The sequence below is a fragment of the Homo sapiens genome, chromosome 4 (assembly GCF_000001405.40).
Source record: "Homo sapiens chromosome 4, GRCh38.p14 Primary Assembly".
NCBI lineage: Eukaryota > Metazoa > Chordata > Mammalia > Primates > Hominidae > Homo > Homo sapiens.
Window position 1 is genome coordinate 152,946,305 of NC_000004.12, and position 22,899 is coordinate 152,969,203.

Genomic DNA, 22,899 nt, shown 5'->3' on the forward strand with positions numbered 1-22,899 from the left:
CTTCAGTATTCAAGTATGATAAATAGTTGAGAATGATCCCTTTAAGTGCATTAGGTAATGCTGTCACATAACAGAGATTATCCAGAATTACTTTCAATTTTCATGTTATCTGTAGCGTGGCTAGGAGTATTATATATACTTTTTTACAGTAAAAGAATATGGTACATGCTATTTTCTTCCTTCAATTTTCTTCTGAAGAAGTTAGAACTCAGCAGGGTTCTTGTCTAACAAAGATCAGTAATAAATCTTCCAACTCACTTTGCAGTAAGCGGAGTCCAGGGTCAAAAGTAATAGTCCTACCATCTGTTTGTGTGGACTGCAGAATTCCCTCCACAGCCTGTTCAGCAGAGGGACTGCTCCTGAGCCCGGAGCCACAGCATCACCATATTACAACACAGGCTGCAGTTCTGGAGGTTCAGACTTGCCCAGGCACAGATTATGACCCTTGAAATATCATAACCTCCTACAGAAACAGCCCGACATTATGTGATTGGCTTATACTTTAAAGCCTTATACTAATAAGTTCCATTGTACTCGTGAGGAAGAAATTTGCTGGAAGATAGGGAAGATTGGAGAATGGCTGAACTTAGAAAGAACAACACTTAAATAGTGAGTTAGAACATTTAGTACAGGGCCAGGCACGGTGGCTCGCACCTGTAATCCCAGCACTGTGGGAGGTCGAGGCAGGCAGATCACTTGAGGTCAGGAGTTCGAGACCAGCCTGGCCAACATGGTGAAACCCCGTCTCTACTAAAAATACAAACATTAGCCGGGCATGATGTTACACACCTGTAATCCCAGCTACTCAGGAGGCTGAGGGATGAGAATCGCTTGAACCCAGGCAGGGGAGGTTGCAGTGAGTGGAGATCGCGCCACTGTACTCTAGCTTGGGCAACAGAGCAAGACTGTCTCAAAAAAAAAAAAAAAGAAAAAAAGACATTTAGTATGGGAAGATATGAAATGTTACTATCCTTGTATCTTTGTTAACTAAAAATTAACTCAAAGAGACTGTAGATATGATGGTATAATAATAATTAAACTGTAATAAAGCAATTAGAAATAAAGACATATTACTGGGGATGAGACGAGAGAGATTCAGCTCAAACTCATCTTCTTCTCAGAGTTGGCTGATCCCATCCCCTGAGAAGCTCTGTAGTTCCTGACCCTCTATTACTGACATTCCTCAGGCCCCCTGGGAGCCTTCCACCAGTGTTAGCTGAGGGTGTGCGTGTCTGCCTCTACAGTTTGACCAGCTCTTAAGGGGAGGGCTGTATCTTAGCCATTTGGTATCCTCTAAAGGAAACAAAAGGTTACTGAACTGGACAGAACTGAACCAAGAGCACAAAGGGATCAGCTTATGAGGCATCAACAGATCAAAATTGGGGCTCACAAAGAAAGCAGAAATATTGAAACACCTCAGGTCATTCACTATGATGTCTGTAGCAATATAACATTGACCATCTAGGAAATAAGTAAAGTGGCTAATTAGAAAAAGAAGACCACAGAAGAGAGAGAGAGAGAGAGAGAGAGAAGGGAAGGATGGAAGGAAGATTGGTTTTTCTAAATTTATGACAAGTAATAAATACTTTATTCTCCCACACTATAATTCAGCTGTCAGTCATTCTCACCTTTTGTTATGATGCCGGTATGTTCCAGAATTTCGGGATATGCTCACAGTCCAGAACTGTAGAACTAGATAGAGCATTTCAAATACATTTGGGAAAAAATGTGCTTCAACTGGATTTTCATTTTTTTTTCCCCAAAGTTGGGAGAGAGGACAATTTCCAATTGACAGCCAACTAAAGTGAAAAAGAAAATGAAAAACCATCAAAACCCGAAAGCTAGGTCCATATTGGAGGATAGAGGAAGATCTTCACATTTTTGTTTTTCAGGACTTGAAGTGGGATGGAAATAGCCACTATGTAGTGTTACTCAAGTAGGTAAAGAAGCCCCCTTTGACATAAAAAACAAAAGTGGTTTAAAAGTTTCTTCCTTCACCTTGAGGACATTATGCTAAATAAGCCAGTCGCAAAGGACAAATACTGTATGATTCCCTCATAGGAAGTACTTAAGTAGCCAGATTCATAGAGACAGAAAGTAGAATGGTGGTTGCCAGGAAATGAGAGAGGGGAATGGAGAGTTAATTGTTTTTTGTTGTTGTTGTTTTGAGATGGAGTCTCCCTCTGTCACCCAGGCTGGAGTGCAGTGGCATGATCTCAGCTCACTGCAACCTCCACCTCCTGGTTCAAGCAGTTCTTCTGTCTCAGCCTCCTGAGTAGCTGGGACTACATGCACATACCACCACGCCCAGCTAATTTTTTTGTATTTTTTAGTAGAGATGGGGTTTCATCATGTTTGCCAGGCTGGTCTTGAACTCCTGACCTCACGTGATTTGCCCACCTCAGCCTCCCAATGTGCTGGGATTACAGGTGTGAGCCACCACACTGGGCTGAGAGTTAATTGTTTAATGGGTACAAAGTTTCAGTTTTGCAAGATGAAGTGCTCTGGGGATGGATGGTGGTGATGGTTATACAACAATGTGGATGTACTTAATGCCACTGAACTGTATTCTTAAAAATTGTTATGGAGCCAGGGCAATTTAGTGAGACCCCCATCTCTACAAAAAACTTAAAAATTAGCCAGACATGGTGGCTCGTGCCTGTAGTCCCCGTTACTCGGGAGGCTGATGCAGGAGGATTGCTTGAGCCCAGGAGCTGGAGGTTGCAGTGAGCTGAGATAGTGCCACTGCACTCCAGCCTGGGCAACAGAGCAAAACCTTGTCTCAGTAATAATAATAATAATAATAATAATAATAATAATAAGAAGAAGAAGAAGAAGAAGAAGAAGAAGAAGAAGAAGAAGAAGAAGCAGAAGAAGAAAATGGTTATGGACCAGGCATGGTGGCTGAAACCTGTAATCTCAGCACTTCTGGAGGCCAAGACAGGAGGATAGCTTGCGGCCAGGAATTCAACACTAGCCTGGGCAACATAGTGAGACCTCATCTCCACAAAAAAATGTCTTAAAAATTATCCAGGTGTGACAGCATGCATCCCTAGTCCTAGCTACTCAGGAGGCTGATGCAGAAGGATTGCTTGAGCCCAGGAGTTTGAGGCTGCAGTGAGCTATGATCACACCACCGCACTCCAGCCTAGGTGACAGAGCAAGACCCTGTCTCTAAAAAAATAAATAAATAAAAAGTTATGATGGCAATTGTTATTTGTATTTTACCACAACTGAAAAAAAGTTTCTTCTTCCTTCAAAGGATATGGGAGGCAGATTTTGTAGTGGATTGATGAAGTGAATTGAAACTACAAAAGTTGTAGTAGAATAAACTAGAAGAGCTGATTTGGAGGTTTTAGCAAGAGTGATGGTGTAGCCACATGTCTCACTGAGTGGCATAGTGCTGCTGACTGTTTCAGTGGGTATCAGCACAACCCTGGCCCCCTGGCAGTTGCGGGGAAACTGTGAGTAGAGCCCAGGCCCCCTTCGCATCCTAGCAGGAAATCCTTGAAATGTTGAAATGAGTTGAGTGCGTTAATTACCTCATTACCTTATATTTCAAGCTGCCTTGTTTGCCACTCTTTGGTAGGAATTTTGGGGGAAGAGGTAACGAACTCTGCAGTATGCTGACTGTACCCGTGGCACCGACTTCTGTGGCGGTCCTGCCTGCATGTCCTGGTGTGACCAGAGGAGTAATTACCGGTTGATCGGAGCTGGTGGGAGGGAGGGGATGATGCAGCTCACTCATTGGCTGGGTTTGTTTATCCCTCTTCTTTGGGCAGTTTCTTGCCTCTGATTTGTCAGCTTGTGCAGCCAGTGAGTCCCACTGGGATCCCATGTGCAGATTCCACTGCTCTGAATGATTCCAAAACACCACCCAACCCGACCCGACTTTGTTTCTGAATGGCCCAGCTTTGAGAGAGCAAGCATTTGGGAAGTGAGATAAGCTAATTTACATGTGCAGTGATAACCCTCTTTAAAGGACTTCAACAGTCACCCTTATAACATTGCTTTGGAAGGATCGAATGCGATAAAGTGGAGAAAGAGACTCCTCAGACACCAGGCAAATCTGAGGATGCCGGGAGCGAGTGGGACTGTCCCTGAATGATATCAGTTGTCTCATTTTAATGTTGTTTGGGTGAAGTGCTGGGCTCTGTTTTTCCTGTAAGGTGCTCAGTCACAGCCAGCTCGGGTTTTCCCTTAGGAATATCACCCAATTCTCTTTGTTTCTGAAACACAGCTTGAGCTGTAGAGACGCCTGCTTCTACAGCTGGGCTGCCCCTGTGTTGGGGCACCGTGGGCTGCTCCTGTAGGGCCAGGGCTCAGGCCCCTGGAGGCTCTCTTGCCTGGGGAGAACATGATTCCCATCTGTCATCTCTCAGATACAGCTCTGGGGTCACCAGGGGACTTGGCCAGGCACACGTATAGCTTCTTACACATCTGTCCCCATTCCTGGAGAAAACTCACAATGCAAGCACCATGCTGGTAGGGAACGTTTGCTACGTCTCTATAGGAAGCTCAGTAATGTGAAAACCCACAGAAACTAGAGTGAAAAGGAGTCAGAGAGAACCAGGCTAACCTATCAGTTCAACACTGCTCTGGGAAAGTTATAAAATGATGTCTATGAGGCTTAGTTTCCTTACCTGTCCAGTAGAGATCATAAGAGTAATTTTCTCCTTCACTTTTCCTGCAGCAATGTCTCCGGATCTAGGCTGAGTGAAGAGAGTCCCAGAGGGTTGAGGGGTGAACAGGATGAGCGTGGGGCTTGGTTCACGTGGGGTGTGGGAGAGCACTGCAGTCAAGGGTTGAATGTAGCAGAAGGTGGCACTTTCATGAAAGGAATACGAAACAAGTCATTTATCCATCCTAGGTGAATGCAGAGGAAGTTCTTTGAACGTGCTGTGTAACTATATCAACATACAGATTCTTATGCATGGCCTTTTAATTTATTAATTCTAATGAACCCAGTTTTCTGTCTTAATAAATCGAGATTCCTTTTTTGGTATGACCTTTTAAAGGGTGTTGAGTTTGACAGGTTTTATTCTCACCCTTTCTTTCTCTCCTCTCCTCCCTTTACACTGAACTTGAACTGCAGTCCCCAGATAGGATTCCAATAAGGAGGCCGCCCTTTCAGCTTGGGAGTTTTTACCTTATGGCTGGCAGGTGATTGTGTTAACATGAAATAAACCCCTAGGTTAGTAAATAATGTGACTGTTAAAGATTAGTCTTCAAAAGAAGGCAACCATACTCTTGTAAAAATTTAACCTTATAGCCAGGAAGTGACATTAACGTTGGTTAACAGTCTCGCTGCTGGTTATCAACTCAGAAGCAGACCCAGAGATCAGGAATTTAGCCTGAAACCTGATTCTCTTTTGTTCACAGTGAATCACATACATTTGGAAAGGAAGAGCATTATAACAACATTCCTATTTTAGCTAGTCTCCCGTTACCAAAAAACAAACGGGAAAAAACTGCAGCAGTTTTCAGGTTATCTTTCCTCCACGCAGCCGGGATGTTTACATCCAGAGACAGAAATGGCTTCTGTATTTAACAGCCAAAAAAAGTTCTCATTTCTAGTCTGATAAAGCCACCTGAAATTTTGATCAGTGAAAACCTGCTACAGCTCAATCTGGGTTTTGACAGAATAGCTATCCCATATTTCATTAAATAAAAAGATGCCATGTATTGTAAGGCACATCCTGATTCCAGAGATCAGAAAAATGCAAAAACAAACAAACAAACAAACAAAAAAGTATCTTATCCTTGGTGAAATGTATACAGCACAAGATTTTTCGTTTTAAAATTGTGAGTAAACAAAATGTAGGACACTACCTTACACCCTCCTAAAAGGTCTGTTGGACATATGTAAACTTTTTGAATGAAATGAAATTTTTCTTTTAGAAAAAAATTTAATGATGTTTCCGAAATATGACTTTATTGGTTCTTTTACGTCCATAAATCAGGGTTGGGACTCAATCTGCCTTATCTTCAGAGTTGTTTTTTATTTTCTCAGTTCAAATCTCACGCGATTCTTGTTAGGCCAAGACATCCATTTCTAAATTGGGGCTTTTAAATGTGGGTGATATTATTCTAAGAGGAAATTGCTAAATTTAAAACATTTAAAGTGTATATTTACAGTCCTCCCTCCATGACTGCAGATTTTGCATCCTCAAATTCAACCAACCATGAATCAAAAATATTCAGAAAAAAGTAGAAAATAACAATACAACAATAAAAAATAATACAAATTTAAAAATACAGTATAACAACCCCTTACATAACATAATTTACATTGTCTTAGGTATTACAAGTAATCTAGAGATGGTTTAAAGTATGCAGGAGGTTGTGCATAGATTATATGCAAAATACTATGCAATTTTATGTAAGACTTGAGCATCGTTAGATTTTGGTATCCCCAGGGGTCCTGGAACTAATCCCCTGTGATACTAAAGGATGACTGACTTTACAGATACTTCTCAACTTACGATGGGGCTGCATCCTAAAAACCCATTTGTTAAGTCAAAAATATTCTAAGTTGAAAATGTGGCTGGGCACAGTGACTCATGGCTGTAATCCCAGCACTTTGAGAGGCCGAGGCAGGTGGATCACTTGAGGTCAACAGTTCAAGACCAGCCTGGACAACATGGTGAAACTCCATCTCTACAAAACATACAAAATTTAGCCGGGCATAGTGGTGCATGCCTGTAGTCCCAGCTGCCCTCGGGAGGCTGAGGCAGGAGAATCACTTGAACCCGGTAGGCAGAGGTTGCAGTGAGCCAAGATGGTGCCACTGCACTCCAGCCTGGGCAACGGAGCGAGACTCTGTCTCCAAAAAAAAAAAGAAAGAAAATGCATTTCATATCCCACTAAACTCATAGTAAACTTGAAAAATCATAAGTTGAACCATCATAGGTCGGGACCATCTGTATATTAAAAGTTATATAATATTAAAGTAGGTATGTGTTATTATTACATTTAAGGAAATATAATACCACTGTAGAAAGTTTGGGGAGATGATAATCTTTTAATATTTGTAAAACTATGTTAGGAATATCTGTTAATCACCAGATTTATACATTGGGAATTATTCTCTGATAAATTAGTGTTGCATTTTGATCGGTTTTAATTATCTTCTTTCTCCATCTCTTTTTATTTGAATTTAGTAATCCTATGTGTCCTTATTTTTTTTTCCAGATTACTATTTTGGATGCAAAACGGAGCATGAACATTGGGATATTTCTTAAGCAATTTAAGAAGTAAGATTTTGCACACATTTGAAACTTTAGTCATATCCCTGCTGTCAGCATCAAAGTCTGTGGGTGTGACTGAGCTGGAATTCAAATTCCTCACACCTTCAAATCCTTCTTAGACGCATGGCTTGATGAGCCTGCAAGTGACTGTCACTTTCTGCTGTTTTTCTTCAGGGAAACATAACATAGTGGCTTGAAGTATATGGAGAATTGCCCCAGGGCATCCATTCAAGCCTGTCCCATCAGGGACACCTTCAGAGTCACCTTTAGTGTTGCCCCTTCAGTGGAGGTTGGACTGATGAGTCAAATAGCGGTCAGAGTTTTGTGTTCTGAAGTATAAGGAGAAGGTTGTGCAGGGGTTTCAGTGAGACCAAAGAGGATTATTTTTCTCACAACAAAAGAGACTCCCAGTGGTTGTTGCTGCTTTCAGCCTTTTTGGGATGCCCAAGGATGGTGCTCTGGGTGAAGGGCCCTTGAGTGGAGTGTTGGGTTCCCTGTTTTGAGGCAGTGGGGCTGTTATGAGCACTCACACAAAACTGCCAGCCAGTCTGGGAAGGAGGTGGGTGGGAAGGAGGGTGGAGGAGATTTAATTTCCACTGGCTTGCACCTCTGTTGGCACTCCAGCAAACGTGAAATGGAATGTGATTCATTGTCTTTTCAAGGTCTCCTCGGTCCATTGTAGAAGATATTCATCAAGGAAAAAGTGAGCATTATGGATCAGAGACCTTGCGAGAATTTCTTAAGTTTTTGCCAGAGTCAGAAGAGGTAAGAAATTCAGCGCATGAGTTGTAGATGTTAGGAGTGATCATAAAAGCTTAATATTTTTAAGTGTGTCAAAGCTCACATGGAAGGCCAGGAGCAGTGGCTCACACCTGTAATCCCAGCACTTTGGGAGGCAGAGGCAGATGAATCACCTGAGGTCAGGAGTTTGAGACCAGTCTGGCCAACATGATGGAACTCTGTCTCTGCCAAAAATGCAAAAATTAGCCCGGTGTGGTGGCAGGCACCTGTAATCCCAGCTACTCAGGAGGCTGGGGTATGACAATTGCCTGAACCAGGAAGGCGGAGTTTGCAGTGAGCCAAGATCATGTCACTGCACTTCAGCCTGGGCAACAGAGTGAGAATCTGTCTCTAAAAAAAAAAGAAAGAAAGAAAAAAAGCTCACATGCTCACATGGGAAGGGCACTCTCCTACCCAGAGCCAGAGTTTTCTCACATAAAAGTAAAAAGTGACCTGGTAGAAAAAGCATGGATTATGGAGTCAGAGAATCTAGATTCAGATTTGAGCTATTCCCTTAACTGAGAAAATGGGGCAAGGTTCTTAACTCCTGTGAACTTTAGTTTCCTCACCTGTAAAGGGAGGATAATGATGCTGACCTCATTGGATTGTCAAGATGATGAAATCCTAGTTAATGCATCTAACATGGCACTTGGCACGTGGGAGCTCAATAAATTCTCATCATCCAAAGAACAGGATTCCTTTTCTATCATCTAAACATGACCTTTGCATAGTATAAACCCAGGTTATTTTATAATCCATATACTTTTTTTAAAAAAAAAGATGAAAACAATCATTTTTGAATAAAGATGCTCTAAAATTTTGGGGAGGTAGGTAAACTGTTAATAAAATCTTGTCTACATAATTAACTCAAAGGTGGAAATTGTTGTGATAGTAATACATACTACCATGATATAAAGTTATTTATTTTGCTTGGACTGAATGAGTTAACTGCATTGTTGAATGGTTAGGAGCTTGATAGAAAAAAAACCCAGAAAAACAGTTGTATAAAACCTTCCAAAATTTTGATATTGTCCTTTATTTCTAAGGAAAAAATTCCTTGAAAAATTTCAGTAAGAAATTACACAAATACCTATGCTTATAGATACCTAAATAATATAGATTCTTACAAAGTTTTTTACTTTATAAGTAAAAGTAATAGATGACTTTCTTTTTTTGAGACAGTCTTGCTCTGTCGCCCAGGCTGGAGTGCAGTGATCTCAGCTCGCTGCAACCTCCACCTCCCGGATTCAAGCGATTCTCCTGCCTCAGCTTCCCAAGTAGCTGGGATTACAGGTGCATGCCACCACGCCCCGCCTAACTTTTGTTAGAGATGGGATTTCACCATGTTGTTCAGGCTGGTCTTGAACTCTTGACATCAAGTTATTCACCCGCCTTGGCCTCCCAAAGTGCTGGGATTACAGGCATGAGCCACTGCACCTGGCCAACTTTATAAGTAAAAAGTAAGGGTGACTTTTTAATATGTTATCCTTTTCACAGGCACTTCTGACTTCTCCCTCCCCTTTCCCACTCTTCTTCCCAGACATAATGTATGTAGCTTTACTTTAGTGTCAGGAGATCTAGTTATATCTAGGTGTTCCTATCAACCTGGCCGCTCTCTCTCCCTCAGGTTTTCTCTTTGCACATTAAGTGTAATTAACCCAAGCCAAGATTAATTAGCAGCAGTTATTAATGTTAGTAGTAGAGTCTTGAAGTCTTAAAGGAAGGGCACATTAAATCATAATTTACCCTGGATTGTACATACTGAACAGTCCTTAATCTTTTCTGTAAAGGATAGGAGTTCCAAAATCTTTGTTAGGATAGATAGTTTTTAATTAATTTGAGTTTTAAAATGATGTACTTGCTCTTGAAACCTTATTCCTGCTTGGGCTGTTTTCAGGCCTCCTTTAGGACCTCTCTATACCCACTCCTAATTGACCTCATCGTGTTGTTAAGTGAGGATCAGATTTGACAGCGCATGTGAAAGTGCTCTGAAAAGCTTTAAATTGCTAACTAAATCAAAGTTAGGCACAAGGGAGGCTGCCAGCTCAGCTTCATGCAGTGGTGAGGTGGGAAACTGAATACAATTTTCTTAATATCTTCATTTCTCATTTAAAATTCAAAGGTGATTAGAAAATGCAAAGGGATTTTTCAAAGAAGCAAGTAAGCTGTCAAACCTCATATTTAAAAGAACTTTGTATTTTTGGGTTGTGTGGGGGTATAATTCAAAAGGAAGACTGTTGAGGGCAAAGTGATGAAAACCCATCCAGGCACTGCCTTGAATCCCCGAGACTCTGTCACCCCCAGTTAGCTAACCCGGGAGATGGGGTCCTGCTGAAATGAAAGTATTGGCCTGGGACCCTGAAGTGCCTTCCCAGCCACTGAACCAGGCAGCAGCTGTTTCTCCCCACAACCTCCTGCTGCGGGGTCATCCTCAGTCTGAATATCTGGCGTGCTTGGTCACACTTCGCCTCCTTGTTTACATTACTGACTCTGAGCTTCAGCTCACCACACCCTCCAAACTCAACTGGGAGTTTCCTTCAGCAGGAACACCCTGACAGTCCCCAGAGCCGGCAGGAGCCCCTTCCTAAACCCTCCCGGGTATCTGTGCTGTGGGAGGGGGTCTCGGGGAAAGCCGAAGCCGCTCCCTGACTGCTGCCCACTGTAAGGACAAACTTTTTTGTGTCCCCTGGCACCAGTCAGACCCAGGGCCAACCCTGGAGTCTTTGGGTCTCTGGATGGAGGTTGGAGGATGCGGAAGAGGCCAAGGAGGAGACAGGGCCAAATAAGAGAGGTTTAGGAATGTGGCAGAAATATGCTAATAAATTCGTAAGTGGACACATTACCACGTGGCTCTCAGCCTATGTGTAACGCTCTGTGCTCATTTTTAGCACAAGTAAGGACTAAACCTTTATTGAGTGCCCCCATGTACCAGGCACTGACTGGACAGGGCAGAATGAAGTGACTGAGCCTAGTGCCTGGCACATAAAAAAATCAATCATAGCTATGATTCTTTTGTGTATTTTTCATTTAATCCTTGCAGCAATGTTTTAAGACACTCCTTGTTTTACAAATGAGAAACTGAGGCTCACACAGGTTAGTTATACCTTGTCTGGTGTCACATGATTGCTGAGTGATACAGCAGCGGGGTGGACTTGAGCCCTGATTCCGCTGAGCCCAGTGTGGTTCTGCTGCACTCCACTGCCTGCCTTGGAGGAAGGAAGGGCAAAGGTTGTCAAAACCCCGCCTCGCGCTGCTGGCCTGCCAGCCTTTTCATCACCTCTGCTATCACAAAGTACTGGTGTGAATAAGTGTCACTTGAATAATACTGTAATCTTATCAGCATGCTGAAAGATATAAACGGAAACAGCCCTTTTCTCTCCTGCCTTCTCAGCTGACAAGCCGACCAAAGCCAAGGTTAATTCGTTGTTGAGAATTTCTCTGCCCTCTACCACAAATCTTTTATCTGGCATGTTTGTTCATCTTTCCTCTAATAGAGGTTCACACTTGCAGAGGAAGAAGGTGGGCCCAGAAATGAAACTCTGGGAGTGTGTTCTTGTCCAGCACGGAGTTCCCAAGCCAGGGAACACCCCCACCACGCCTGACCAGCCCTTCCTCTGTTGTGGGCTGGTGCTAGACGTGGTAGAAACTTTCTGTTCTCCTGAAGCAGTTTGAGTTGCCTCTGCTGGACATTTGTAGTATCTCTTTCCCACCTTCTTGGTTGACTCTGCTGCTGGGAAGGGAATGACAGGAAGCCCATGGGTCTTCTGTTGGGTGGGTGTGTTTGTGGGAAATCCTGCCATTTCAAGCCATGTGACTGGAATTAGATAGGATGAAGGAGGTGTGCCCTTTGGAGTGTGAGAGTCTCAAGGAGCCTGCTCTCACTGTTAGGACAGCAACCAGGCACAACCAGGGCCATAATGAGTGTCTCTTGGCTCAGCCCACAAAGTTATGCCTAACCATGTTTAATCAATGTTTTTTTTGGTAATGAGAATGCATAATAATTATAGGGTCTGTTCACCTTTCTTTTTTACTTCCCTGCCGCTGTGAAGATACAATAATCCCTCTTAAAGAACATAAATCTCATCTTGAAATTGAACAAAGAACTGTATACATGGCATTTAAATTAAATACGGTCTTTCCATCACCCTTCTCTTGAAATCCATACATTTTTTTTAGCTTTTTACATAAGTGAAGGAGATTAATCATTGTTCAGTTACAGTTTAGCACATGTTTAATAGAAACATTTACCGAGTTTACTTAGCATGACCTGTTCTTACACTTTAGACTGAAAACCATGCTGTGATTTTCAGAGGTTTCACACATGCTACATATATGGTCTTATACAACTTCCCTCTGCCCCTGCCCATATATAGTGAATTGTTCAACTCTAGCTCAGAAGGGATTAGAATTCATCGTGTAGGTTTCTCAGCACAGAAGCCAGGGACTGATTTGGGCTTAGCTAAACCAGAAGTGCCATGTGCCCTTAAATTTAATAAGGCTAAAAATGGTCAATTCACTTTGAGGCTCTACCAGTAAGGGAAATGCAATTATATAAATGGCTATTTTCTGTCCTAAAAGAAGAAAATAGTCTTAAGAGTCAGACTTAATACTAGGGTGTGAACTCGAAGTGTTACATTTTATATTTTCAAATAATTGAGGTAGATGTTTCACTTTGTGGATCTTTGCAAATACTCCTTTCTTTATATTTTTGAACTGTCATTTCCTATTTTGCAAGGAACTTAAAATCACGTTATTAATCATAACCAAGGGAGTGGAAGATAATAAGCTTTATAAAGAATAATATGAAGTGTTAGCTACTTACTGGCAACAGTTAGCTGCAAAGATAGGCTGTACACTTCACTAATAGTATTAAGGTACTACTTACCATAAAGAATTTTGTTGGATGACTCTCTATTTAAACAGTGGACTTAGAAGTGGTTTTGCCATGGGAATGGCCCAGTGTTCTGTGTGGGGAAGGCATGATTTGTGATCTAATGTTGTTTGAAAACTTTCCTTTCATCTCCACTCTCACCTATTTGCTTTTTGGCTATATACCTGTTGTCAGAACTCTTCTCTTTTTCCTGTATTACGGGTGAAGGAATAATTGTTTGTGTGTTTAAAAACTTAGTTTAGTTTATTTTTTAAAGAGTGATCATGTTCATTGTAGATATCTTAGAAAATAAAAATGAGCAACAGAAGAAAATAGCAGACAACTGTAATCCTATCACCTAGTGTATGTGGGGCTTTTTGGGGGAGGGGCTTCCCTATGTTGCCCAGGCTAGTCTTGAACTCCTGGCCTCAAGTGATCCTTCTGCCTTGGCCTCCCAAAAAGCTGAGATTACAGGCATGAGTCACTACCTGGAGATGTGGGGCTTTTTCATCTTTTTCCTGTGTATGTAGGTGTGTGCATGGGAGGATTGGAGGTTAATAGATACCTTTTAAAAAAATTTATAGAAATAGATGTACATATAGTATGTACATCCTAGTGTACATACTATTTTATTGCCTAGTCTTTTCAGGCTGGAACCCCGCTTTTCCAGAAGCTGACCTCCTTTCCAGGCATCCACAGTACAACTCTTCTGCCAGGGTCCCTGGGGGCAATCTTAACGTCCCGTTGTTTAAGCAATTTTCCTATTTGTCTTCCTGCTGAAGAGCAGATGCGTACTCACCTGAAGACACAATAGACTCTTCCTTTAAAGCTATTGTATGTGAAGTGGGATTTGACCACTGAAAGAAAATCTGTGTTAGATCTTACTCAGTCTAAGTATTTTATATACAAAATACTCAAAATAAGATTTTTTTCCGTTTATGACTTAAAGAACCATATTATAATGACTCTACAGTCTTTTATTTCTTCTCCCAATGATCTCATTTCCAGATTATTGCTTACAGAAAATTTTCATCCTTAGAACTGATTCCTTTTTAGTCCCTCCCTTTTGTAACCTTCCTGAGGATTCTGCTGGCTCCAGCTCTCCAGTTTACACGAGACTGTGTATCTATAGCTACATAAGTGACGCTAGCTCTTTGCTTTCAAATTTGTGAGTTTGTATTTTTCTTTTAAAAAAACCAAATAGCAGATGGGAGGATTTCCTTTTTTGTCTTTTCTAAATTAATTTGAATTTAGCACTAAAATCCTATTTTTTTAGAAGAATTGGAAGATGAAATTTAAATAATCTTAAATTGTATTCGTAAGTGATTTTATATACCCCCCCTTTCCATTTGTCTTTTAGGTAAAGAAGTTAAAAGCGTTTAGTGGCGACGTGTCGAAGCTGTCTCTGGCAGATTCCTTTCTGTATGGCTTAATTCAGGTGCCAAAGTAAGGATACAGTCGCTGGTTATTATTCTTCACGCAGTAAGATTTTTAAACTAATGACATCAAATTCTACAGTTTTACTTTTTTATTTTTCAGCTATTCACTTCGGATTGAAGCCATGGTGCTAAAGAAGGAATTTCTACCTTCTTGCTCTTCTCTATATACAGATATAACAGTTTTAAGAACTGCTATAAAAGGTGAGTCAACATATGATCCTTCGCAGAATTTGTTTTTATTAATTTCGATAGCAGTTTTTTAAAAAAGCCAAATGAAATTGGACATGGAAAGTCCTGAATTTCTGATATACCCTTAAAAGGGAAATGAGATGTTACTAGGGATGCACTTAAGGTTGATTTCCATTGACATTTTTCCCCTGTAATGAATGTTAATTTACATATTACCCTCCCACAGAAGGGAATTTCTTTCATCTCAGGCTTCAGAGTCAACCTTGCTGGTTACGGCTTGCTCTTGTTTCTCTCCTGGATGAGCTTTCTCTGTGTATGTTGGTATGTGGTGTGTGCATGTGTGGTGTGGGCTGTGCACGTACACAAAGCCCGGGCCCCTGGCCCAGCTGCCTCTCTCCTCCCTGTCGTGGCCTCTTGGTGGCTGGGACCCAGCCTTTCCAGAAGCAGACCTCTTTTCCTGGGGTCAACCGTGTGACTCTTCTGCCAGGGTTCCTGACGTTTCTGTTCTGTGGTGTCGTCTCCCACTCCTCCATACTCCAATTTCTGCTGAGCTATTTAAATTTGAGAGGGGCAGATAGGCCATTTTCATTTATTTGAAAAACTCTTTAAATTCTTGCCTGCCCAGCTTGGATAGCCTCTTCTCAGAGCTGCCCTGCCGTCTCCTTCCGGAGGGGTGGGAGCTTTGGTTTCTGGCATCTTGGCACTGAGAATCCCGGCGGAGTTGCAGCTGGCTTCTTTTCAGCTCGGGGCCATATTCTCTGGCCCTCCCTGACCTTCACACTTTTCAGCATGCGTCAGTGCCAGCCTGATTTCCTTTTGGTCATTTTCTGGATTTCTAGTTATTGTTTTAGAATTGTTTATTCCTATTTGGTTTTCCTGTTTACTTGCTCTGGCCTGTTTTGAGATAAAATTTTTCTCTTTGGTCCATCGTATTTTCTTCATTTTAGAGAGGAGACTAAGAAGGAAAAAGATTTTTAAAAATTTCAACATAGAGGCCTTTAAACTTTTTTTCCATACACACTATTGCAGCGACTTTGGAAGGTTTGTTCTGGAAGAATGTGTTTTTATATTGAGCAATGCAAACTTGTGGGCATGGTAGAAACATTTCTTATCTGGTCATCCTTCCAAAACTGGCCTTCTTAGATAACACAATATAGGCAGTGATCCAACTGTAATTTTTTGAAAGTATTACCAGACTTAATGGAGAATATTAACTTAAAAATGTCAGTGACATTTTATTATTTGATAGTATAATTTTAATAAGTTTTCTTTTTACCTTTCTAAATGTATTAAAAATTTTAAATTTTGTTTCTTTGCATGGGTGTACAAAGGATTTGGTGTTAATAAAGAACTAGTTTACCAATATATTACAATGATAAGTTTCTTTCTAAAACTTTCAGCCAATCCAAATGAAATGTGTGGCTTTGAATAAAATGAAAAGATTCCCTGGATGCCTGGGCCCTCGCGGTTTGTGCTTTGCAAGTTATTTACATGTTCTCCCAGCTTGTTTATTTTTTATCTCTTCATAACTCATTGACTAAGCAAAACGTTGCTTGCTGTTAGTTTTCATATTCCATAAATGCGGTCTCTTTGAGACTGCATACTCAAAGAGTAGTGGATATACAAGGAAAAATTAAATAACTGCTGAGAAGGAAGTTAACTCCTATCTCACGGGATACTGCTTTGCATTAGGCTTTTGCATTTTTCACTAATTGAAAATTTTTATTATTGAACTATTTTGTGCTATTTAACTATCATACCTATTTGATTTCCAAGTAAACACTATGACACGGATTGCCGGTAGCAAATGATGTGTTAGGTATCCCATAGAATGTATTGCTTTGTTTGTTTTTTCCGTTTTATATACAGTTTAAGGTCACAGTTTGCTTCAGATACACTTGAACTTGGATGTGGTAGCTGTCTTTTGTGCATTTGAAACTGAAGGCATCTCTAAGGTGCTGTGATGTGTTCTTTTTGATAGAACTGATGTCATGTGAAGAGCTACATTCAATATTACACTTGGTGCTCCAGGCTGGGAATATCATGAATGCAGTAAGTAAAATCCAAAACAATTGTAATGTTATGTTTTCAACCTTGTCTATCTAAAGGTGTGTGTGTGTGTGTGTGTGTGTGTGTGTGTGTGTGTGTGTATGTATACATAATTTTTTCTTTTTGATTTGTCTTCTTTAGGGAGGGTATGCCGGCAATGCAGTAGGATTTAAACTGTCTTCTTTGCTCAAATTGGCAGACACAAAAGCAAACAAACCTGGGATGAATCTCCTGCACTTTGTTGCACAGGTATGTGGAAATGATTAGGACTTAGAGAACGCATATGAATACCCCTTGGAGGCAGTGAAGTTTTTCCCAGGCATAAGATGGTGTCCAGCAGGGTTAGGAAAGGGCATGGCAAGTTCCAAGATGGTTCTGTTTGTAGAAGCGCCATTAGCAGATTCCTGAGTTGTACTGCACCCAGGGCTATAGGGCTGAAGGGAAGTGGGAGAGTGAAGCAGAGAGGCTGGTGAAGCCAGCTATGAAGGATTTAAGTGTCAAAGGTGGGGAATTTGGATTTCATGCTTTAGCAGTGGGGAACCAACAGGAGTTTGTGCACAGTGTAATAGCTTGACTGGATCTCTTTTGTTTTTGTTTTTAGGCAAATAAGGCACTGTGGAGGCTGGGTTAGAGTAGAGAAAGAACTAGAAATAGGAATACACCTCCGCAGAAGTTGGCTGTAATTGTTTGGTGAGCGTTGAGGGGGAGGGTAATGGTCATAGGGACAGAGAATAGAGGATGGAGGATTGAAATTTTCTGATGTGGAATTGACTAGATTTGTGACCAGTTATGTGTAGAAAGGTCACTTCTGTCTTTCTCCGTGAACCATGCATTTGAGCACCATGCTGCTAGCACAGGGTTTGGAGTCTGATCCTATCCATTGCTTTGTTTTTTTTTTTTTTTTTTTTTTTTTTTTTTTTTTGACTGGATCTCTATAACACCAAAAAAGTGAGGAACAAAGTGGAAAATCAAGGACAGTTATATCTTTGTTTTGAAATGATCTCAGCTAATGGAACTGATTGGCTTTTCCTCCATTGAATCACTCAGTTGTTTTGACATCAGTGCTGTAGTCGTAGCTTTAACCTGGGGAGGAAGCCGTGGTGCAGTCTTGTTTTGAATGTGAGCTTCAGAACAGGACAGGACTGGGAGATTTTGACTGTCCTTTGCTAGCTCTACTTCCTCAGGCAAGTTATTTAAACCTGAAGACCCTCAATTTCTTCATCTAATGGTGAGAGTAGTGATAACTTACCCCAAAACTAGGTAATTGAGAGTGCTGAAGGAGCTGACTCCATAAAGTGCTTATCTCAATGTTTGGCCTATGGTGAGCTCTCCATAAATAACCATACACACTATTATTACTATATTCTTCAGAAGACAAAGGGCCATGTTTAGCTTGGGACTTAATTGAAAGGTTAATTTTCAGGCATTAAAAGAAGAAAATGTGTTCCTTGCCCAGCAAGGGTCGTGGATAGTATTCGGGCAAAGCTCTCCTGAATCCAAGTGTCCAGGCCCTCTGGGTAACTTGGTCTCTGTCCATGTGGCGAAGCCTCCTGGGTCAGTCATTGCTTCCTTCCCACTTGCCTTCCTCTCACCTCCTGAACAGGTGAAGAATCCAAACACTGCCATGGCTCCTGTACCTTCTGATTAAACTCTGTTTGCAAACTGGTTTAACAGCTGAAGGTATCTCGCTCATTTAAAGGCATGCTCACAGGTATGGGTGGTATTTAAGCAGGATATATTGGATTCTTTCAGAAACAAGGGGCCCTGCTGAGCTGCAGCCAAATGCTCATTAATTGTATTTTGTGTCAAGATCAATTGCTCTGGAAAGGTAAATGTATCTTGAGAGTAGGAGAGTTCTAGCAAATCTTACTAAGAGTATCAGAGTTCATGTCTCAGTGAAATGCTTTGAATGTGTCAAGTTTAAAAACAGGAGCAGTGATTTTAAGATTCCTTTAAGCCCTAAGAAAATTATTTCCTTCCAGTTTTATCAACATAGTGAGATAAAATTCTGTTTTTGTTCCAGGAAGCCCAAAAGAAAGATACCATTCTTCTAAACTTTTCAGAAAAATTGCATCATGTTCAGAAGACTGCTAGGTGAGCAAGTGAATTGTGAGAATTCAAGATTCTTTACCTTTTTATGAAAACTGATAAATAGTTAAAACTTTTAGATTCCAGTTTGAAGTCTAAAAGGTTTTGTTTCATTGAACTTTCAGACTGTCCTTCATTTGCTTAACACAGGTGTGTGTGCACCTTTGGAATTTGGGGGTTTTGAAAAATTAATCTTTATTTGTAAACTAAAGAAACTATTTCAGTCTATTCTAATGAATATCATCAGTATAAAAAATATGGATTAATAATTTCAAATCCCTCCACGCCCAAGAGATAGAGCTTAAACAGCACCACCTATTTCCTTGGGAGTTGGTATATATCAATCAAACTTTCATGGCCACATTTCACTGTTTCCTTGTAGAATCTAACATGGTACATTTATTTTCCTTTGCATTAAAAGAGTTTGTAACCGTACCAAGAGCTGTGAAATGATTTTACTTTAAATTAGTCACTCACAGAGAAAGGCACATACAGAGAAAGTATCTGCCAAACATAAGGCTCTAATTACATCACTCTAATTTGCTTCTGATCCTAATGTAGATATGTATCTTAATGTAGCTAGACTCTGTGTGTATATACTATTTTGACTTTTGTATATGTGTTTTAAAATTTATATTACATCCACACATCCCACGGTAAATGTTCAATAACCAGCTGTTGGAGAAAAAAGTCCTGATTTGTAGCATTTGCTGATTTCCGTGTTGTAAATACCGTAACCATGGCTGATGTCAAGCTGCTGACATACATTACTGAATGCAAATTAGGAAGAGACACCCACAGTTGGTTCTCATGAGCAGGTTCAGCCACCGCTCATGTGTCAAGCCAGTTCCTAGCATATACTTACTGAGTGTATCCAACTATGACATCTGTGAACCATATGCATATAAATAAATGAACCATAGCTCACAGCCCTGCCACTGGCCTGTACCTCAAAAGTTACTGATTCTATGAATATCTAGCCACAGATTACATGTCTTTCCCAAAGTGGGATTATCAGTTCAGAGGTGTAAACAGTTTATAATTCATGTTTACAGATCTCTAGATTGTTCTCTAAAAAGAATGGACATCTTATAAGATAGGAACTTTTGACTTACTGAAAGAAATTTGTGTGGGAACATTTTTACTGTAATTAGTATAAAAATATTCCTAAGAGATATATAGATAGAAATTAGCATTATATTTTTGAAATGGCGTTTCTGGTCAGAGCTGGATTGGAGCTAGATATTGTCTTAGAAAAATCCTATTCAGCAAGCTTGTTTATTTGAAATGGAAGGTGAAATACACTTGGGAAATACAAACAGGTCTCAGATATGTGCCGGTGACCAGTGAAGGTGGAAAACTTTATTGCACAAAGAAACATTTGAATTGACAATGGAAGCATGAATGCATCCTAATTTATGAATTTCACATGCATTTTAGGTTTCGCCTACTCAGTTTTCTGGGTAACAAAACCATCATTCACATTCTGCCTATCTTTTGTTTTTTTTGAGATAGAGCCTCGCTGTGTCACCCAGGCTGGAGTTCAGTGGTGCAATCTTGGCTCATTGTAATCTCTGCCTCCTGGGTTCAAGTGATTCTCCTGCATCGGCCTCCCAAGTAGCTGGGACTACAGGCACCCGCCACCATGCCCAGTTAATTTTTTTGTATTTTTAGTAGAGACAGGGTTTCACCATACTGGCCAGGCTGGTCTCGAACTTCTGACCTTAGGTGATCTGCCCGCCCCACCCTCTCAAAGTGCTGGGATTACAGGCCTGAGCTACCATGCCAGGCCCACATTCTGCCTATCTTGATTTGATGTATATAACAAAAGCATTGCAATCAATCCAACTGTTAATTTGCAGAATTAGGGCTGGCTGTGGTGGCTCATGCCTGTGATCCCAGCACTTTGGGAGGCCAAGGCAGGAAGACTGCTTGAGACCAGTAGTTTGAGACCAGTCTGGGCAACATAGTAAGACCCTGTCTCTACAAAAAATTTAAAAATTAGCTGGGTGTGGTGGCGCACACCTGTGATCCCAATTACTTGGAAGGCTGTGGTGAGAGGATCACCTGAGCCCAGGAGGTCAGTGCTGCAGTGAGCCATGATCTTGCCACTGCTCTTCAGCTTGGGCAACAGAGTGAGACTGTCTCTTTAAATAATAATAATAATAAAAATCAGCTGGGCCTGGTGGCTCACACCTGTAATCCTAGCACTTTGGGAGGCTGAGGTGGGCAGATCATTTGAGCTCAGGGGTTCTAGACCAGCCTGGCCAACATGGCGAAACCCCGTCTCCACTAAAAATACAAAAATTAAGCTGGGCATGATGGCACATGCCTATAATCCCAACTACTCTGGAGGCTGAGGCATGAGAATTGCTTGAACCCAGGAGGCAGAGGTTGCAGTGAGCCAAGATCAGGCCACTGCAATCCAGCCTGAGTGACAGAGGGAGATTGTGTCTCAAAAAAAAAAAAGTTGCACATTTGTTAGCTATGTTTTAGTTCTCTGTAAAATATAGAAAGCCTGCTCTGGCCACCTGTGGAATCTGCTATTTTCATGGAATCTGCTATTTTCTCACTGTTACCCTTAGTGTTAGAATTATCAACATATATTGCCTTGCTTCTTGTGGGTTAGAGTTTCCTATTTGTGTTTAGTGGCCCATGGAAAGCATATGAATCCCGGAAGCCGCTGGCATTTAGTTTGTAATGCTTATTGCATAAAGGTGTTCAGAGCTAGTTTATGAAAACGTTTGCAGATCCCATGGTTTTGTTTATCTTACCATCAAGAGTACAGTTACAACCTGCTCTCTTTGAACCAGTATATGTCTTTAGAAACGAATCACTTCTTAAAACAGGAGGAAACACAAAAGATCTAAATACAGGGGTAGATAAATATCATCACAGTAGCTCTCCCCTTCTGTTTCCAAGGTTGAACAACAGTTAGTCTTATTTAATATACCTACATGACACATGGCTTCCTTGTTCCAACTGCCCACTCTCCCCTTTCTTCTTTTAGATTATCTCTGGAGAACACGGAGGCAGAACTGCACTTGCTGTTTGTCAGGACAAAATCACTAAAAGAAAACATCCAGCGGGATGGTGAACTTTGTCAGCAGATGGAAGATTTTCTTCAGGTTTGTAGGTGACTCAAGTCAGTCCCTCTAATCTCATCTCCCAGCAGCACCCCGGGGCTGGTTAAATTTGCATGGGTGTATTTGTGGAAGCAGCAGTTCCCATTCATATTTTTTTTCTCCAAGTTAGTCAGAGGAACTTGGTATTTCCATGCCCATTCTTTGCAGAGGATGTTAAATGTGATCTAAGCCTGATATATTTTTTTTTTTTGTCTCTTCGTTTGTTTGACTTGTTTGTTTGTTTGTCTTGAGAGGGAGTCTTGCTCTGTCACCCAGGCTGGAGTATAATGGTGCGATCTCGGCAAACTGCAACCTCCGCCTCCCTAGTTCAAGCAATTCTCCTGCCTCAGCCTCCCGAGTAGCTGGGGGCTACAGGCATGCACCACCACACCTGGCTAATTTTTGTATTTTTTCAGTAGAGACGCGGTTTTGCCATGTTGGCCAGGCTGCTCTCAAACTCCCGACCTCAGGTGATCCGCACTCACTGGGCCTCCCAAAGTGCTGGGATTACAGGTGTGAGCCACCGCGCCCAGCCCAAGCCTGATGTATTTGTTTAGGGACAGTGCTTCTGCGAGGCTCCTGTTGTTCACTGCTCAGTTTGCACGATTGCAGTTTACTGTGGTGAACTGGTATCAGCCATGGAGTTGCACTTGGGCTATACCTGGCAACTCAAGTTTTGTTTCTAAACCAGTTAAACTTTCGGATAACAGAACAAAGTTCCACAGAAATCAAGATGCCTTAGAACTTGGGCTGTCATTTCTTCACTTGTTTATGTTGAAGAAACAAGCTGCGTTTTGGCATGTTTTATAATGAGAGCAGCAGAACACATGAGAGCTGTGCCCGTCAACACCAGGAGTACGCAGGGCCCACAGGGTGTGTCGGGAGCTGCTCCAAATAACATCAACAAAAAACAGCAGAGTGGACATGTTTGTGACAGCTCACTGTGACTCACTAATCGCATAGTCTGACATACTTCTTTTATCTTCCTTATTAAAAAAAAAAAAAAAGGCACCATCTCATGCTTTTAGTCTTCAGCGAAAGGCTATGCTACCTGAAGTGTTGTTAGTGTTTTGAGACCTGTGAGGTGGAATCATGTAGCAGGGCTGCCC

General features: G+C 41.3%; 1 protein-coding gene across 6 annotated transcripts in view, besides 2 other annotated features; it reads left to right on the forward strand.

Moving 5' to 3' along the window:
- FHDC1 (FH2 domain containing 1) overlaps positions 1–22,899 on the forward strand; it is a 68,333-nt gene that overhangs the window by 34,966 nt on the left and 10,468 nt on the right. For 5 of the 6 annotated variants that reach the window (XM_047416336.1, XM_011532389.2, NM_001371116.1 and 2 more), the window contains 8 exons: positions 7,195–7,256; positions 7,913–8,015; positions 14,261–14,346; positions 14,440–14,540; positions 16,510–16,580; positions 16,719–16,826; positions 18,601–18,671; positions 21,676–21,793. In XM_047416336.1, coding sequence (XP_047272292.1) covers positions 7,195–7,256; positions 7,913–8,015; positions 14,261–14,346; positions 14,440–14,540; positions 16,510–16,580; positions 16,719–16,826; positions 18,601–18,671; positions 21,676–21,793 — 720 coding nt within the window. The remainder of the gene's footprint in view (positions 1–7,194; positions 7,257–7,912; positions 8,016–14,260; positions 14,347–14,439; positions 14,541–16,509; positions 16,581–16,718; positions 16,827–18,600; positions 18,672–21,675; positions 21,794–22,899) is intronic. The other variant, XM_047416337.1, reaches the window with a different exon arrangement.
- Positions 3,613–3,907: an enhancer, noted in NCBI's record as "tiled region #8192; K562 Activating non-DNase unmatched - State 20:ReprD". NCBI's record gives its function as "activates a minimal TATA promoter and a strong SV40 promoter by Sharpr-MPRA in K562 cells {active_cell/tissue: K562}" and the evidence as "EXISTENCE:reporter gene assay evidence [ECO:0000049][PMID:27701403]".
- Positions 10,107–10,926: an enhancer, noted in NCBI's record as "H3K4me1 hESC enhancer chr4:153877563-153878382 (GRCh37/hg19 assembly coordinates)". NCBI's record gives its function as "activates a minimal SCP1, AML or CMV promoter by ChIP-STARR-seq in naive H9 embryonic stem cells {active_cell/tissue: H9 hESC(naive)}" and the evidence as "EXISTENCE:reporter gene assay evidence [ECO:0000049][PMID:30033119]".